General features: G+C 38.0%; 1 protein-coding gene across 1 annotated transcript; it reads right to left on the reverse strand.

Moving 5' to 3' along the window:
• Nucleotides 1–4,907: 4,907 nt before the first annotated feature.
• Nucleotides 4,908–12,987, reverse strand: LECT2 (leukocyte cell derived chemotaxin 2). The gene is made up of 4 exons (NM_002302.3): nt 12,792–12,987; nt 10,875–10,971; nt 9,227–9,372; nt 4,908–5,501 (listed from the first exon to the last, which is right to left on the reverse strand). The coding sequence occupies exons 1-4, from the start codon at nt 12,835–12,837 to the stop codon at nt 5,335–5,337; spliced, it is 456 nt and encodes a 151-aa protein (NP_002293.2). The 5' UTR covers nt 12,838–12,987; the 3' UTR covers nt 4,908–5,334.
• Between the last annotated feature and the right edge of the window lie 7,222 nt (nt 12,988–20,209).

A 20,209-nucleotide genomic window follows, 5' to 3' on the forward strand; every position in this document is an offset into this window, starting at 1 on the left:
AATATTGAACTTGGATTCTGTAAAGTTATGTCATTTGCTTTATTACATTGTTTTATTTGATTCTATTTTATCTTGGTATTAATATATTTTATAAAATATAAAATATTTTAAAGCTTATTTAACTATAACATTTTTAGCACCCTATGAGATCATCTTGTGATTCAGTAAAAAACTTCTAATTTCCAAAGTACTTCAGATTCTACTTTATTATATTGAGAGATAATGGACATTCGATTAAAATTTAAAAATACTAATTCATTTCATAATGATACTGAGGTGAAAAGACAAGAGATAGTCATTCTGATTGTTAGTTGGTAGACTATTTGAATAAAGCAGTAAATGTTGCAGGATGTGTTTGGGAGGGAATCAGCATTTGCTGCCTCCTGCTATGGATCTGGAACTGTGCCAGATCCTTTGTATAAGTGATCTTAGAATTTAATTAGCAACACAGTTAGAACTCCTTAGTGGCTGCTTATTGTCTTGAGGGTGAAGATCTAGCCTTAAAATAACCCACAAGGTCCTGCAAGGTCTGGTCCCTCCCTGCTTCTTTTGCCTCATTTCCCATCAAGCTGCCCCTTGCCCTTCAGTTCCCATTTCCTCTCAGTTCCTTAGAACTGTCCTGCACCCTCTAGTCACAAGGAATTCACTCGTATCTCTCTTTGCCTGGCTTACTCTCTGTGCTCCTCAGATCTTTCCTCTAGCTGTATGTCCTTGATCATGGAAGCCTTCCTGGACACCCAGCCCATTCCCTGCTCTTAGGTCAGGTCCACGATGTGCACTCTGTGCAGGGCACTCAGCACCCTGGCTTTACTGTGCGGCACTTATCCCTGTTATAATTCATTACTTACTGGTCTGATTATTACCTGTTTGTTCCATTGCACTGTAAACTCCATCAGTGCAATATCCTTGCTGTTTTTTGCTCACTGTTTTATCCCCAGAATCTGCCATGCTAGTGGTTAGCACGTAGTAAGCACTCAATAAATTTTACGTAAGTACTTTGGTTTTCAAGCTTGTTCCACTCAGTTTGCCCCACAGTATCTTAAATTTTGAATAAATCAATTAAAATAAAAAGAGAGAATTAAATATGTTCATCACTTTCCAGTTTGGAATATTAGGAAAAAATTATAAGTATTTTTACCTATTAAGCAATTAGAATACATTGTGATGTGTAAATGGCAGTTTAAAAAATAGCACTTTCATATCCCTGTATTTAGAGACTATGTTTGTGTGTACATTCTCACCACTGTGCCATGTTATTTCTCACTATAAGCTCTGTAAGGCTTCTCATATCTACCTATGTGTTCCTCCCTCTCAGAGCAGTATTGCTACATTAGTAATTACTCCATAAATGCTAGTGGAGCTGATTTTACTGGTTAAAAAAAATAAAACCAATTTCTTGAGGACGGGGATGGTACTACAATTACAGATAATACAATTTATACTTTAAGATTTCAGGAGGATACAGAAGCATCATATAATACAGGACTTAAAACCTGATTAGGGGCCAGGTGTGGTGGCTCACGCCTGTAATTCCAGCACTTTGGGAGGCCGAGGCAGGTGGATCACAAGGTCAGGAGTTTGAGACCAGCCTGGCCAATATGGTGAAACCCCGTTCTACTAAAAATACAAAAATTAGCGTGGGTTGGTGGTGGTCGCCTGTAGTTCCAGCTACTTGGGAGGCTGAGGCAGGAGAATTGCTTGAACCCAGGAGACGGAGGTTGCAGTGAGCCGGGATCATGCCACTGCATTCCAGCCTGGGCAACAGAGCAAGACTCCATCTCATAACAAAACAAAACAAAACAAAATGAAACAAAACCTGATTAGGATAACAGGACAAACAAAAGAAATAGCTTAACAGAGATGGAGTTGGGGATCAGAGCAGTGGTGGACATTCTGAAGGGATAAGCCTCTGGTCTCACCTGGGATCACTCTACCATGATATATTCTAGGAGGAGTTGGGAGTATACATACCCGAATGGTTAGGTGATAGAATGCCAGTGGAGTTTGCACTGAGGATAATGAAGCAAAACAGAGGGACTAGAGAAGGGAGGTTGGGGGTGAGTTTCTCCCCATTGTCGACTAGTATGGAGAGATGATGAGTACCATTGGCCTCTTCTACATAGAATAAGAAGGTGCTGCTCTAAATTGTGCTTTTTAGTGGCCCAGTAGTTGAACCTAGTGAACTAAGCACTATAATGAATCTTAGAGCAAAACTCAGAGTAAATCTAAGTTCATGAACTCATGTAAATTACCTTGATTGGCCTGACTTACTGGGTAAGTAAATGGAAGAGTAAAACATTCCTACAACAGCCAAAAATAAGACAAGAACTTATAGAGTATTTTAAATGTTTTATCTAATGAAAATGTCTCTACTTTGGAAGTCTATGAAAAGTACTGTTTACTTAAAACTAGTGGATTCTAGATAAAGGATTTGACATTAAGTGGGTTTCAAACTTTAGTCTTTGGAGAATATTTTAGTTCTGTAAGCAAACTTTTTCATGTTAAAAGTGTTTACATTTGTTAGATGATTCTGGAGAAGTTTGGATAATTTTGTGGGCAAAAATTTGGTAAATGGAGAGAATGGGGGAAAGGTCTTACTGTAGGTTGTGCTGAAGAAACACAAAAATAGGATGCTCATATTTTTTGTTTTTCCTTCCTTGTGATCCTTGCTGGCCTCATTTGTATTGTACCAAATATGGGAGAGGTGAGTCAGGAAGCAAGCCTATTTTTCATGGGTATTATTATTAATAACATGTCACAGAGGCAACAGGTATGTGATTACTGTAATATGCCACTGAGTGTGATAAATGTCAAATGGATGCAAGGATTCTTCCTTTTGTAGCCTGGCCTCTTAAATTGGCCACTTACCTCCTTCTTTTTCTTCTATTAAATTTATCTCTTGCAGATAATTCAAAACATTTTCAAAGTAAATATTGGTTTTATTCACATTATTAATGTGTAGCTATCAAACCTGACAGAATAATATCACAATTTTTGAAGTGTATATTATCATCATGGTTACTAATGAAAAGTAAGTTTCTCCATACTGTTACCCCTTTGCCATTCAAACCTTTGTAACATTTTTATGCTTAAGTCAAACGTTTTGACATCCAAACCTAAAAGACAAGGGGGAAAATAACACGGATTTGTTGTTGCACTAGAGGGCGCTGTATTCCAGTTCTTCCTGAGAAATAAGTCCTTTGGTCCAAAGTTTGCATTTCCATTGAGCAGATGTGAGAAGGCTGAGGGGAAGGCAATGTCCCTGCTCTACCTTGAGGAATTTCTCCATTCCAGGTCATGAGTCTGGTTTTTAAAACAATATCCATATCCACCTGTGTTTTGCCTCCTAAATAATCAGAAGGATGATTATTTGGAAAACTAAGCTTATATTTTATTGTGCAAATATTTCAGAGTTTCTTTTAAAATTGCCTTTAAGAGCTGATGTGCTATTTCCTTTTTGTGTGTCCTCAGTGGTGTACAGCATTTATTTTTTGAAAGCCAAATTTCTGGAAACAACCTAAAGTTATTTGGTACCAAGGAGATGCATATTCAAATCAGACAGTGCTAGATATAGTTTGCCATTGAAAGTAATAGCAAAAACCGTGATTACTTTTGCACCAACCTAATAGATATAAGAAGGTGCTAAATGTGTGACATAGATTCTCAATTACCTGAGAGTCATCATGATAACTCTTTCTTCCTGGCCACCCACTGCAAGTCCTGTTGCTTCTGTGACATGTTATTCATAATAATAAATACCCATGAAATCACCTCCCAACTGCAAAACTACAGCACTGATAGTAACTTATATCTTTCTGTGTGGTTCTCTCTATCTAGTTATGAGTTAACTAGAGTTCATTATTTTCTTGCTCGCCTTCGTATATGATTTTGTTATATAAAAAGGAAATTGTATTTTAACTGTTTTAATGTTATAAAAAGAATTATCATCCATTATGTAATCTTCTGGACTTTTTAAAACTTAAAATTATATTGCCATGATTCATTCAGGTCATTATGTTTAGCTGAAGTTCATTTATTGTGACTGCTGTTGACTATTACATTCTATAACTTTGAGATTATTTATTGGATTTCACTGTTGATGGGCATTTAGGTCACTGAAGGTTTTGCTATGAAAAATAGTGATATCATGAACATTCTCATACATATGCCCTGATACACAAATGCAGCCATTTCTCTAACAATAAACTTCAGTTAATTATGTTTTCCTCTAACAATCTACACATAAGAATATAATCATTCTGCTGGCATTTTCTGCATTCCGAACAAATTTAAGCAGAAATTCATGAAGTTTCCAGAATGATTAGTTCAATGTATTCATTTCTTACCAACTGGCTAAACTCTAAGGAGCCAGAATTATTTCTGGTCCTTTGGACATTTGTATGGTCTTGTTTCCTCATAGTACCTGTTGTCAATATAACTAAGACAGAATAACATAGATATAATACAATGATGTGTAGAAATAAGTAGCTGTAATATGCATATGGCTAGATGAAGTTGACAGGCCCAATTCCATGAGACACTTCAGATAAAGGTAGGCCTCATTCTCACTCTAGTCCTTCCTGTAGTGCAGCCTCACTGTTTTCTTGGGATATGTTTTCTTGGACTGCCATCATTCATAATCATGTGGGTGAGTGGATGGAAATACCAGCAAATCCTTTATTATCCATGAAAGCAGCTCTCTCTCCAACCAATATGATAAACCTAAGGATATTGCTGAGAGTCTACTACCTAAACTCAACTTATTCATTGAATATGTATTAAATGTATACTAAATCTAGCATTATAAACCACTCACTGTTCTTGTACCATAGAAACACTTTCAGGCTTTTTCTTATTTTCAAGCAGAAAGGTTGCTAGTTTTAGAGGTGTCAAAAATGCAGCCTGGCCCAGCGTAAGTTCTCTTGTTTATTTATCTTAGATCTTCGGGACTGAGAAATCTAAAAAATAAAACCACTCAGATTCCATAGGTGACAGATCAAAGAGCCCGAAGCAACCAGTTCACATGAACATCAGAGTGACAATGAGTTAAAATCAAAATGTTTTCTTTCTTGCATTTATCATGTTTCTATTTAAACTCAAATTTCCTTTTTTTAATTAAAAAATTTTTGTGGGTACATAGGTGTATTTGTTTATGAGGTACGTGAGATGTTTTGATACAGGCATGCAATGTGTAATAATCATGTCATGGAAAATGGGGTATCCATCCCTTCATGCATTTTTCCTTTGTGAACACAAATTTCTTGAAGAGAAGGGTATGCATCCAGGTTTTTAAGATGACTTTTTATTTTGAAGATCTGACCATTGGCCTTCGATTTACAGGTATGCAGTAGGGTCACTCGAGTCACAGTTTTCAATGTGCACATGCGATTGTATGCCAGGATAAACTTTCTGCAAGGGCAATAGAGTTCCAAGTTTTTCTCCCTTCTTAATAGGACCTTTATACTTAATTGGCTTAATGTAGAACATTTTGACACAAAAACCTAAAAGAAAATAAGTATAATTATTTATCTGGGCTTCAGTAATCTTGAATCTGAAATTAAAAAAATAACAAATGGACAAAAAATAAAAAAAAGAATGTTGAATGAACTCAGGAGAGGAATAGATGAAAATGACAAAATGATATTAAAAAGGAAGACTAAATTACAAGATGCCAAAGGAAGAATAGATTCAAATGAAACGCTAATAAAGGCATTGAAGAATAATAGCAGGAAAATACTAGCTAGTTAGAAAAGGTGAGCCCTGAACAATGTCAACTCCAAAACATATTCTGATAGAATGATTGGACTTTAGAGATAAAGAAAAATAGAAATAACTGGAACAAAAATACAAACTTTGCTAAATATCAAAAGAATTAAAAAGGCAAAGACCCAAGTAGAGAAATAGAGTACAATATAATAATTATACAATAAAATGGTGTTGGGTACAAATACAGGAGTCATGTCTATAAATGTGAATGGCCTTATCTTGCCTATTAAAAGATGTCCCATTGGGTTGAAAAGCAAACCCCAATTGAATGCTGTATGGAATAAAACACAGCGATTGAAAAGGCTGAAAGTGAAGAGCTGGACAAAGATTTGCCAAGCACATGGACAAAGATTTGCCAAGCAATAAGAAAGCAAGGGCTATTGTCCTGTTACCAGAAGAGTGGAAATCAGGCCAAAAGGCATTGAAACAAGACGAAGATAATGTAAGAGGGTAAATGCCACAAGTCACAATGAAGATATAACAGTTACAACTATCCATGCACTAAATAGCACAAGTCATCTATATAAAGCAGACACTACAAGAGATGCCAGGAAACATAGATAGAAACCCACCAATAATAGGAGACTTTGATACACTAGTGGCACTGCAAACCGGTCAAGTGAGCATAAAAATAAGGCTGTAAAATTATGCTGTCCAATATGGTAGCCACTAGCCACATGTGGTTATGCAGCACTTGAAAGGTAGTTAATATGAATTGAGATGTGCTTTAATGGTAAAATACACAGTGGATTTTGAAGACTTAGTATTTAAAAATGTAAAATATCTCAATAATTTTTGTATTACATATTGATATAATACTTTGAAAATATTGAGTTAAATAAAATACTAAAATACCATGTTTTTTTACTTCAACATGGCTACTAGAAAATTTAAAATAATAATAATAATAATTATTATTATTATTTTTTTGAGACGGAGTCTTGCTGTGTCACCCAGGCTGGAGTGCAGTGGCGCGATCTCGGCTCACTGCAGGCTCCGCCTCCCGGGTTCACGCCATTCTCCTGCCTCAGCCTCCTGAGTAGCAGGGACTACAGGCGCCCGCCACCACATCTGGCTAATTTTTTGTATTTTTTAGTAGAGACGGGGTTTCACCGTGTTAGCCAGGATGGTCTCGATCTCCTGACCTCGTGATCCATCCACCTCGGCCTCCCAAAGTGCTGGGATTACAGGCACGAGCCACCGTGCCCAGCCGAAAATTTAAAATTATATATATGACTTCTGTTATATTTCTATTGGATAGTTCTGCTGTAGAAGAGCTAAAACTCCATCAGGTAGGTTTTACGAATAAATATTAAACAAAAGATGTGCAAGACCTCTACACTGAAAACTACAACAACCATTAATATAACAGTGAAGGAAGACCTAAGTAAGTGGAGGACATAATATGTTCATTGATTGGAGGACTCACTACTTTAAAAATATTAGTTCTCAATTTGATCTGTATATTTACTGCAGATTCAGTCAAAGCCCCAGCAGGATTTTTGGTGGAAATTAGCAAACAGATTCTGTAATTTATTTGGAAATGCAAATAACCAAGAATTGCCAAGGCAGTCTGAAAGAAGAAGAAAGTCAATTCCAATTATGCATTCTGGAACTGGGGAAATAACCTCTTGGTAGATTGGAGGATGCACTGGGCTCACTGTAAGATGGACCCTAGTGAAAAGCTATATTTACCACCTGACTCTAAGCCCCTAGTCTGACTGGTGAACCACAGTGGCCTTTTAGATCTCCAGGAATTAGTGTCAGTTTTGAGCAAGTGTCCAGTAATCTCTGAAGAGCCTAATTATTTCTTCCCTAATGTGCTGTCATCCTGCTAAACCGTTGCAGGTCCCTTTGGGGACAGCTAGAAGTAAGGTTTACAGTATAAATGTTTGGCTGCGTAGCAGGACCCTTACGCAAAAGGACTGAGCCTCCCTTTTGTTCAAGAGGCTCTGGGACTGTGAACCAATTCAAGCCTGGGAATTTATTGGGAATTGGGACCCATTATTGTGATGACTGAAGTCAGCATTTTGTTCATCAGACCTGGAGCATTTCCATTCATACAAGTCCAATAAGGCTTTAGTTGGCTGCTCATCTATTCAGTTCCTGAGTCACCATGATTACTAGCCAGTGTCACAAATCTCTGAGATTTAGACGAATCTGATTACTGCTTCTGCTCTCACTGACCTTGGCATTAACTGTTAAGTGCCACTACAGAGGACACAGTTCAATGGCAGAAGTTTCCCTTGTGACATTGGCCTACAGAGGACAACCACTATGTAGCTCCTCAAGGATGTGGGTTCGCTCAAAAGATGCCTCTCACAGGCTTGGTGAGGAGGGTCTCCTCTGGACTCACTCCCAATAGGAATGCATATATATGTTCATTAAAAGGTATAAGGAAGTTCGTAGCAGCAATTTTATAATCATCTTAAACTGGAAACTGCCCAAAAGTCCATCTGAGGAAGAATAGATAAATAGATGAAAGTATACGCATATAATGGAATATCATGCATCAGAAAGAACGTGGATACAAAAACATAAACTGCATAATCACGATGTGGAATGAAAGAAGACCCAAAGAGTGCATGCTGTTTAATTCTATTTATACCATTTTTAGAAACAGGAAGAACTAATACATGGTGTTAGAACTTGAGATAGTGATTATCTTGCTGGGAATAATGACTAAGTGGTAGCACAAGGGATCTCTGGGATGTGGGTGATGTTCTTTTTCTTGATTTGGGTGCTGATTACACAGGTGTGTTCACTTTTTGAAATTCACGGAGCTATACATGGATGTGTTGTGCACTTTTATGTGTGTATTTATACCTTGATGGAGTAACCAAACAACAAAACCAATACCTGGAGTACCAGGAGATCTAGCTTTACCTAAAACTTAGAAGCTTTCAAAAATATTTCACATTCAACTCTTGCAGAAGTGCCAGCATTTATGATTTGTGGGATTTGAGTAAATGCAAGTATCTATCCATTATGGTTAGCATTGCTGAAAGTGGCTTTGTTTATAGATTGTTAAGCAAAACCACATGGGCCACAGGAAGGAATGCCTCCAATCAGCTGTGGGGTTTCGTGAAGTGTGTGCATGAAGCAGAAGTTTTCAGAGAAAATGGTGAAACGTCCTTGAAAGTGCCTCAGCTGGGAGAGGATCAGAAAAAAATATCTATCGGGTACTATGCTTATTACCTGGGTGACAAAATAATCTGTACACCAAATGTCTGTGACATGTGGTTTACCTATATAACAAATGTGCACATGTACCCCTGAACCTAAAATAAAAGTTTTTTAAAAAATGCATCAGCTAGTTTGGGTACACTCTATATTCTTTCTGTTCCAGGTTTTATCATTTTGAAAGAAGTACAAAATCTCTACGTATGGAACCTGCATTAAATAAATGAGCATCAACATCTCCAGGAGGCACCCCAGGTGTAGACTCCACCTCTCTTACCTCTTCCAGATATTCGAACACCATTATTGATAGCATTCTTGTTTTGATAAGGTTTCTCCTGGCCCACAATCATTCCAGTGAATGGTGCGTACACAGTAGATCCAGCAGAGCACAAGATGTCCACACCCTGGTGAGGCCTCTGACTTCTAGGATGTAAATAAGAACGAACAGACTGAGGAACTGCCTTAGGGGAGCTTTACTGCCTGGGAACATGGTGTTAGCCCACTGTTTGCAGACGAGGTACCAAAGCTTGAAGCTGCCAGAACATGTTGGGATGTCCCAGGATGCCTCACTCTGTTTAGCCCAATTTTAACCTCCCTCCCCGCAGGTGCTAATAACCATATCATAAAGATGAAAGCATTTAAAATGGTACTTGGTACATAATAAGCCTTAAGCAAATATTAGCTACTATTATTTTATGGCATGTTGGGGGAATGAGGCAGTCCATGTAAGTGCATTTTCTAGATACCTAGATCTTGACATCTTCAAGCCCACTTTGAAAACAGCTGTCTTTTTATGGGAACCTATCATAAAAGTATCACATGTTACCCTAGTCTTATTTTTCTTGCAGTGATCTAGAAAAGTGATTGTAAACGTCACTTACTGTATATGGTATTTTAATACAATGAGTGATACCTCCTGGGTTTATTAAAGTGCATGGAGCCCAAATCAAACTATTCTAGATTGTGACGTGCCTTGAGTTCGTCTTAGCAACCCCTCAGCTCTTGCTTCCCGCTGCTGTCACTATGCCTGCTCTCACCAGCCTCCCCTACCTTCTAATAGGCTGTCACCTGAACGATCAGGTTCACCAGGATTGCTGCAATTATGTACAAAGCAACACTGAGCAAGCTCAAGAGCCAAGAATTTACTGTATCAATCAAGTGCATAAACTTTGCAGTATAAGCTGAGTCTGAATTTTGGCAATTCAAGGGACGTTTCCCATATTTCCCTTCTCTTAGTCCTGTTTCAGTATTTGAGGTTGCTTTGTAAGTAGTATCTGTATATGTGAGAGTTCCCCTCTAGTTAGGATGGAGATCAGTGATATGACTGGACACATGGCTATTTCATTAGAAAGTGGCACCCCAAGGTGATGTTGGGTATAACTGAAAATTCACAAGTGTGACCCTCATTTTCTGGAAGAGATAGTGGTGCTTTCTCTCCTGCTTAGGGCCAGCCTCTAATATTCAACATCCAGAGCCTGAGCCAGTAACCGCGTGGTTTGGTGGGAAGAGGAACCAAAAGCCTGAATTCAGGTCCAGGCTTCACCATCTCCAACTGTGCTTGGCAGGTCCCTTAACCCTTTGGTACCTCAGTTAAAGTTTCTCTTCTATAAAATGGGATAGTTGTGTTTAATAACCCTTTGGAAAAAAACAGTTGAGATAAGTGAATGTGTGAAGACATTCAGAAGGAAAACATTGTGTTTGCTCCCTGATCTTTTCCTTCTTCCACATTCTGATCCCAATTTATAGCTCATACTTGAAGCAGAGTTCTTGGAAGCTGCTCCAAAGACAGTGATGTAACTGGTTACATCTCTGGTTTTTCATGCTGTCAGAACTGTGAGCCCTTGAGGCAACCAACGTTGGGCAAGGACACTAAGAAAAGAGGTTAGGGACCAAAGGGTTGGGTGGGTGGTTGTGCAACTTCATACCTTTGAGCAGAGTACTGTCCACAGCCATGGCGGTCACACGTCCGGATCTCATTGGAAGACTTGCCAGCACATATATTAGCCCATGGCCCTGCCAGTGCTAAAAAGGAGAAAAGTGAGAGCAGAGCTCCTGGCCTCAGACATTTCCTATCCCCATTTGCCTTATCAGTCACACAGTTGATCCTGACAATTCTGTTTTCACTGTAGTTTTCCCTGGACTTTATGTATTTATGGGAAGATCGTCCTTCCAGAATTTTATTTCCTGATTCAGATGTAAAATTGGCTTTTTCCCTGGCCACAGAATTCTGCTTTGTGACGTTAGAGTATCAGTGAATACAATTTTTTTTTTTTTTGGATCGGAGTCTCACTCTGTTGCCAAGCTGGAGCACAGTGGCGTGATCTCAGCTGACTTCAACCTCCATCTCCTGGGTTCAAGTGATTCTCCTTCCCCAGCCGCCTGAGTAGCTGGGACTACAGGTGCGCACCACCACACCCAGCTAATTTTTGTATTTTTAGTAGAGACGGAGTTTCACCATGTTGGTCAGGACGGTCTTGATCTCTTGACCTCGTGATCTGCCTGCCTCAGCCTCCCAAAGTGCAGGGATTACAGGCGTGAGCCACTGCGCCCAGCTGAATGTGTTTCTTTATAAGCATTGGCCTCCATCATTATACTTTGCTTCAGATCCATTAGTAAATGGTATAAGTTGTGCTTTTCTATTTTTCTTTGCTCATTATCTGCCATGGGGATCATTATTTTTAGATTAAGCAAAAATAATAAAATAGCATGGCTCAGAAAATAATTTTAGAAATTGTAATTTTGAAATGGTTAGTTCCACTAATCAAATCCAAGCAAATGTTTGAATTAAAGGAGAAACGAACTCTGTACTAGCCAAGTTTGTTTAACACTAGATAAATCTCTCATAGTTGCCAACATGGAAGAGGGAGATTCTTAAAAATAATCTGAAATGTCAAACCAATTTAGCCTAGACTGAGATTAGGGGTGAAGGTAGGAGAAGGAGTAGAACCAATTATATGAAAAATTATGAAACGTGGAGGAGGGGCTGCTTTCTCAGCAGACTTGGTGCAAACTTTGTTTCAGGCACAATTTGTTTCTTTACTATAGTAAGCACTTAATAAATGTTCAATGGAATTAAATGTCCTGGATTTCCAGTGTTAACATTCACAGAGAGATACAGTGAGCACACTCAACCTTGCACTTTGAAACAAACAAGCAAAAGCGAGAGCCTGGTAATTTGACTATTGATTTTATTTAAAGACATTTTACTCTTCATTAATACCTATCCTGTGAAGAGAACCTACAGAATATGGCCATTAAGCCTCTTCTTTAAAATACTTTTAAAAGGTGGGTTTCAAAAGTTTTATGCCTTGGAGCCAAGCTCCAAATCAACACCTTGATCAAGATATAATCCCATCACTTTGGCAACTAATATTTATCCTTGGGAATTGAGGCAAATATCAGACAGTGTAGTAATTTATTCACTTTTTCCTCCTTCGGTGAGTATTAAGGGAGCCATCCCTTTGTCTTAATCCATACCAGTCTCTGTATTAGTATCTGTATCAGAATTTGATTTTGATCAAAATCAGAATCAAATATTTATATCAACTTTTTATTATCTAGTTTTGTTCTAGTTAAGTCCCAGACCCAGACTCAGACTGAAAGGCTTTGTAATGTCTTCTCAACCCACTATTATGTTTCCCTCATTAAAGAACCGGAACATTCCATTTAAATTACTTAAAACATCCTCAGGACCATGTGTCATTCCTATTTCATTTTTAATAGCCAAATACACAAGTCTTTGTTGTGATCATGCTATTAATGACTTTTTAATCTTTTTAGTCTTCCCCTGAAATCAGTTTTTAAAAGTTAATCAATATTCTAAAATTGCACTTTCGACTTACCGGTAGAAATCAGACCAGCCAAAAGGAGGGCTTTGGTGGAAAACATCTGGTTTTACTTCCTTTAGTTTCTTCCTCTGATTAGAGTTGCCCCCACACTCTCTTTGAAGAATATTCAAGTTTGAATGAATACTTCCTAGCTATTTAGCCTTAGAATTCTGCATCTCTCATTTCTTTAGTGTGAGACACAAAAAGTTTAAGAGGATGGAGCAAGTCAAGTTCTAATATTCCATGGATAGCTATTTGATTTGCAGGTAGGGCCTATGTAAAAGCCTTTGATCTGAAGAAGAAGCCAATTATATTGGAAATACTGACTAAATATTAACAGAAAATGATAAGGCTAGGTGCATATCGACAGTCTTCTGGGCTGTGGCTTGTAGGAGAATGTTCGTGCGAATGATGGAATATTTAGTGCTGCCTGCTGGTAGATCTTTCTTTTATTTCCTTGATAGCACATATTTCAGAAGAAAATTGGTCATTAATAATGTGTAGCCCTTCATAACATATTCCTTAATATATCCCTTAGGTGTTTTTGAATTCTCAGTTTAATTATATTTCACCTGTGTAATATTTGCAAATAACTTTAATATTTTAATAAAATTGCATGTATTCACCTTAAATATGTGATTTTTAAATGTTTTCTTGTTTATGATAATGGTAAGTTAACACCATTAAAAGCATCCATCAATAAAGGAAAAAAGATTAATTATAATATAGTCATTGATATGGTTTGGATCTGTGTCCCCACCCAAATCTCATGTTCAATTGTAATCCCCAGTGTTGGAGGTGGGGCCTGGTGAGAGGTGATTGAATTATGGGGCTAGAGTGCTCATGAATGGGTTGGCATCATCCCCTTAGTGCTGTTGTCCTGATAGTGAGTGAGTGAGTTATGGTGAGATCCGGTTGTTTAAAAGTGTGTAGCACCTCCCCTGTTCTCACTTCCTCCTGCTTCAGCCGTGTAAGACATGCCTGCTTGCCCTTTGCCTTCCGCCATGATTTTCAGTTTCCTGAGACGTCCCAAGAAGCTACCATGCTTTCTGTACCTCTTTTCTTTATAAATTACCCAATCTCAGGTATTTCTTTATAGCAATGCAAGAACAGAATAATACAGTCATACAACAGAGTAAAATATAACAATTTAAATGAAGACAATCTACATGTATTAACACAGCTAGATCTCTAGATATACTGTTGAATTAAAAAGCTATTTTTAGAATTATATATATAGTATCATACTATTTATAATATGTAAAATCTGAAAACAAGTATATTAATCTTAATGAATGCTGTATGTATAATAAAAATATGCACAGACTACCTTTAAGGTACTAATTACTTCTGGATAGTGAGAGAAATAAAACCGTGGAAGGATATACAGAGTACATAAACTCTAAAATATTTTATTTCTAAAAAAAGAAAAAAATCAGAAGCAAATATGTTAAAATATTAATTTGTTAATTATTGGAGATAGACACATGGATGTTATGTTACCCTGTACTTTTCTGGGGAATTAAATTTTCAGTGTGTTTCAAATATATGTTAGCAGCTCCTTTTTAGCTTAATATTAGATGAGCACCTGGAATTTTCTATGGAAGCTTCCCCATTTAAATTATGTGCCAGTAGCTGTGGGAGATTGGGATTGTAGCCCCAGTTCTTCACCCTCTCTGCATCCACACCTTTGCCATGTTTCATGGGGGCAAAGGGAACTTTCCTCACCCTTGATTTTGGGTTTAGCTGTGTAGCTTTGACCACTAAGATGAGGCAGAAGTGGCAGTGGGTCGGGAAAGCCTGGGTCTTCTGGGGCCTTAGTCTTTGCACACTCCTTCCTGTGTTTCTACATCGCCGTGAGGCAGATGATCCTGCTGCCCTGGGAAGGGAATGGATGCCATGCAGAGCACAGTTGCCCCTACAAAATCCAGCTTAGTATACCCTATGAATGTATGGGCTTAACTGGCTGTCATTGGAAGCCACTGAGTTTTGGTGTGGTATGTCACACAACAATAACTAAACGATGCCAATGAGATTATGCACCTAATTGTTTTTGCTTCACACACAACCTTTCAAGGAGGCATCTAATGTATACAATATAGAATGCCAACGCATTGAATACATCAAGGATCTGAGTCAATGTACTGAAAGAATAGGTTAGTGAAACAAAACAGATGATTCAGAAATAGGCACAAATATATACAGCATGTAGTATACAATAGAAGTCATACTTTAAATGATTAGAGGAAATATAAGTCATTCTATTAACTGTATTGAGACAACAACTGGCAAGAAATAAAAGTGCAGTCTAGGCGTGGTGGCTCATGCATGTAATCCTAGCACTTTGTGAGGCCTGTGCGGGAGGATCACTTGAGGCCAGGAGATCGAGACGAGCCTAGGCAACATAGCAAAACCCCATTCCTACAAAACATTTTTAAAACTTAGTCAGGCATGGTGTGTGTGTACGCAGTCCTAGCTACTTGGGAGGCTGAGGCAGAAGGAATATTTGAATCCAGGAGTTTGAAGTTACAGTGAGCTACGATCATGCCACTGCACTCCACCCTGGGTAAGATAGTGAGACCCTGTCTCAAAATAAATAAATAAATAAAAGTTCAATCCATATCAAAGTGAACCAAACATTTGTATGCAAAAGGAGAGAAAGAGGGAGGAGGAGGAAAGAAAGAAAAGAAATGAACTGAAACCATAGAAATACTAGGAGAAATTATGAATGATTTTTAATGGTCTTGGTATGGGTTGGACTTTTCAAAGAATGTTAAAAAACCCAGAAGTGCTGAAGGAAATATTTGATAAATGCGTTATAACAATAATAAAAAAAACTTTCTACAAAGCCAACAGTATCCTGATCAGAGTCAAAAGATAATAATCTGAAAAAAATATCTATAACCCATATAATATGACAGATAAGGAACTCATCTCCCTAATATATAAAGAATTCTTTAAAAAAATAAAAGGTGTAAACAAATTGATAGAAAAATGGGCAAAGGCCAGGCGCGGTGGCTCACACCTGTAATCCCAGCACTTTGGGAGGCCGAGGCAGGCGGATCACGAGGTCAGGAGTTCGAGACCAGCCTGGCCAACATGGCGAAACCCCATCTCTACTAGAAATACAAAAATTAGCCAGATGTGGTGACAGACACCTGTAATCTCAGCTTCTTGGGAGGCTGAGGCAGGAGAATCGCTTGAACCTGGGAGGCGGAGTTTGCAGTGAGCCGAGATTGTGCCATTGCATTCCAGCCTGGGCAACAAGAGCAAGACTCCGTCTCAAAAGAAAAAAAAAAGAAAAATGGGCAAAAGATAGCAGCAGACTTTCCTAAAAGAAAAAATACAGATTACCAATATGTATTTGAAAATATGATCCACTTCACTTAAAATTAACAATTGTAAACCAGAATGAGGTGTAGTTTTTCACCCATCAAATTGACAAAGGTATGTAGAAACATTTATTGAAAAGTGTAAGTTGGTTTAACCTCTTTAGAGTACAATTTTGCAATACCCCTCACATTTTTAAATGCACAAAACCTTTGCTCCAGCAATGCTATTGTTTTCCTACCTGTGGCCTGCTTTCCTCCTATTTTCCCTGCCTTCTGCATTAACTGTTTCCAATGTATCTTCCCCTCTGAAGCCAGTGCCGTCCTCTAAACTGCAGAAGAGATGGTAGGAGACTCTTTTGAAACCCGTAATGGGATAGGATCTGAGCAATGTCATCAATGCTGAAAAGCTGATGAGAAACTTTGTAATGGATGGATCAGGCTGATGATACCTAATCAATCGTATTGTTAAGAAGAGAGAGAAGGAGAGAGTATATCAGACATTTTATACCTCCTGTTGGAAATGCACAACACAACCTATAAAGTATTCTTGTCAAAAAATCAGGCTAAAGTCTTATAAGGCCATTAGCTCTAACTTTCAGTTTACAGGAACTATGCAGCACAGGGATGCATGTTAAATGTACCACAAGAATGCAGTCAGACAAATGCAGGCTGTAGGAAGTTCTACCAGATAAAGAACCTGGTTTCTTCAACAAATAAATTCTGAGGAAAGGAAAATAGAGAGAGGGGCAATCTGTGGATTAGAAGAGATTTACAAGATTTATCAACAAAATGCCGTGTATGGACTTTACTTGGAGTCTGAATCAAATGAGGAAATGATAGACAGAGAGAAACAGAGAATAGGGACAATTTTAACACTACTTGATGATATTAGAAATTATTCTGTGTAATTTTAAGCATAATACATTAGGTGTTTGTAAAAAGTTCCTATCTTTTAGAAATACATACTGAAACATTTATGGGTATGAAATCATAGGATGTTTCAGATTTGCTTCAAAATAATCCAGGAGTTAGGAGAGTAGGTAGCATATAGATTAAACACAATTGGCTATGAACTGCTAATTACTGAAGCTGGGTAATGAGTACGCAGAAGTTTACTATACTATCCTCTCCAGTTTGTTTATATTTGAAAGTTTTCCCATAGCAACAAGTTAAATAAAGACATTTGTTGGACAATTAATTTGTTGGCAATATCTTTTGAACATAAAAAAGTTCCCATACAGCAAGGAAAAACTGATTTTTCTGTAACCTTGGTAATATTTAGCCACCTATATTTTAAACCCTTTAATCAGTCAATGACAACCCACGTCTGGTAAACATGCTCTTCAAAACAACCAATCAATAACAGCCCCTTGCTTCTGACTTTCAGCCAATTAGGGACAGACTCACTCTAGTAAGTGATTCCCAGCCAATCAACAACAGTCTTACCTGAGCACCATGTCTTTTAATCCGTCAAACCTCTAACATTCCGAAAGTTCACAAACCCCCGAACTCCCAGCTTCCCAAATCCATACATAAATAAGATGAACAGGCTGCTCTGCTTGGAAAGATTGTGCCTGACCGACACAGCTCTTCCTAACTATTGTCACTCATTCAGCTTTGTCTTTTTATTTCAGATAGTGGGTTGAGTGATGGTCTCGTCCTCCTAAGAAACATAGTTGATCCTGTCCATACCCTGCGACAGAACAGCTTCACTCTTAGTTATACTCTTGCATGTGTACACGTTCAAAATGTTCATAGTAGTATCATTTGTAGTAGTGTAAAACAGGAAACAACCTATATGTGCATCAACAGTAGAATGGGAACAAATTCTGGTATTTTTGTTTAATGAAATACCCTACAAGAATGGGAATGAATAAAATACAACCAAATACATCAACTTAGATGACTCTCAAAAACATAATGGTGATTAGAAGAAAGGAAATCGGCTGGGCGTGGTGGCTCACGCCTGTAATCCCAGCACTTTGAGAGGCCGAGGTGGGCGGATCACAAGGTCAAGAGATCGAGACCAACCTGGCTAACATGGTGAAACCCTGTCTCTACTAAAAATACAAAAATTAGCTGGGCATGCTGGTGCACGCCTATAGTCCCAGCTACTAGAGAGGCTGAGGCAGGAGAATCGCTTGAACCCAGGAGGCGGAGGTTGCAGTGAGCCGAGATTGCGCCACTGCACTCCAGCCTGGGTGACAGAGCAAGACTCCATCTCACACACACACACACACACAAGAGGAAATCACAGAACAATATGCAGTATATGCTTATTAAAAGTTCAAATGCATGCTTGAAACAGTAAGCTTTATAAATTATATCTCAAGATGAAGCTGTTTCTAAAACATTCAGATACATGCAAATCTAAAGCATATATTGTTTAGGAACACATACATAGATGGTAAAACTATTAATATAAAGAAAAGCAAGAGAAGAGTTGACACAATTTGTATGCTGGTTACCTTCAGGAGAGAGGAAGGGGATGTGATCAGGGGCAGGCACCTGGGCTTCATGGGGGCTGATAATGCTCCTATAAACCTGTTGCTGGGCACAGGTGTTCATCTGGTTATTACCCTTTAAACTGTACATATATGTTTTATACATTTTATATTTTCCAGATTTTTATCTTCCAGTATTTCAACATTCACACACAATTTTAAGTGACAAAAAAATTACAATAAAAAACAAGATCAGAGTGGAACTGAAGGAGATAGAGACATGAAAAAGTCTTCAAAAAATCAGTGAATCCAGGAGCTGTTTTTTTTAAAATAATAAAATAGATAAATTATTAGCTAGACTAATAAAGAAGAAAAGAGAGAAGAATCAAATGGACACAATTAAAAATAATAAACGGATATCACTACTGACCCCACAGAAATACAAACAACCATCAGAGAATACTATAAACAGCTCTATAGCAATAAACTAGAAAATCTACGAGAAATGGATAAATTCCCAGACACATACACCCTCCCAAGACTGAACCAGGAAGAAGTTGAGTTCCTGAATAGATCAGAACAATTTGTGAAATTGAGGCAGTAATAACCTACCAACCAAAAAAGCCCAGGATCAGATGGACTTACAGCTGAATTCTACAAGAGGCACAAAGAGGAGCTGGTACCATTTCTTCTGAAATTATTCCAAACAATTGAAAAGGAGGGACTCTTGCCTAACTCATTCTATGAGGCCAGCATCATCCTGATACCAAAAGTTATCAGAGATACAACAACAAAAAAAGTCAGGCCAATATCTCTGATGAACATTGATTCATCAGAAAGAACAAAAATTTTATTGAGAACAAAAATTCTCAATAAAATACTGGCAAGCTGAATCCAGCAGCACATCAAACAGCTTATCTACCACAATCAAGTTGGCTTCATTCCTGGGATACAAGACTAGCTCAATATATGTAAATCATTTTTTAAATAATAAAAAATATTATGCAATAAAAATTGTTTAAAGATTTTTTGCAGAAGTCAGTGGAGGCAAGCTTACTGTACAGAGTGTATTGTAACAAGTGCATTCCCTGTATAATTTAATCCTCGCAAAAAGCTGAGCAATAAAGCTGAGGAAGCTTGAGGCTCAGAGAACTGAAGTGACATGTTCAGTGTTCCACAGCTGGATGTGCCAAAGCCAAGTCTCAAACTCTACTAGACTCTAGAATTCATACTTTTACATATTTTGTTATATGGTTCAATGAATGACTCATCATTCATACACAGCCTTTCTCATATTTCAGAATTTGAAGCTTGACAATCAATACATCAGTTTCATTTTACTACCTCTAAAATGAAGATGATGATATCAACCTTCATAGGATTCTTGTAAGAATTAAATGAAGTAGTATTCCTAAAATAATTACATTAGGCCAAGCACATACAAAACACTAAGGCTGGGTGCAGTGGCTCACGTCTGTAATCCAAGCACTTTGGGAGGCCAAGGCAGGTGAATCACAAGGTCAAGAGATTGAGACCATCCTGGCCAACATGGTGAAACCCTGTCTCTACTAAAAATGCAAAAATTAGCTGGGCATGGTGGCGCATGCCTGTAGTCCCAGCTACTTGGGAGGCTAAGGCAGGAGAATTGTTTGAACCC

The sequence above is a fragment of the Homo sapiens genome, chromosome 5, assembly GCF_000001405.40.
Source record: "Homo sapiens chromosome 5, GRCh38.p14 Primary Assembly".
Classification (NCBI taxonomy): domain Eukaryota; kingdom Metazoa; phylum Chordata; class Mammalia; order Primates; family Hominidae; genus Homo; species Homo sapiens.

Excerpts from the sequence above, each read along its gene's own strand:
- LECT2 (NM_002302.3), bottom strand. The coding sequence starts at position 12,837 with ATGTTTTCCACCAAAGCCCTCCTTTTGGCTGGTCTGATTTCTACCG. Across the intron at positions 10,972-12,791 it reads GGCTGGTCTGATTTCTACCG|CACTGGCAGGGCCATGGGCT; the intron begins GTAAGTCGAAAG and ends TCTCCTTTTTAG. Across the intron at positions 9,373-10,874 it reads GGACAGTACTCTGCTCAAAG|AAGTCAGAGGCCTCACCAGG; the intron begins GTATGAAGTTGC and ends TTTACATCCTAG.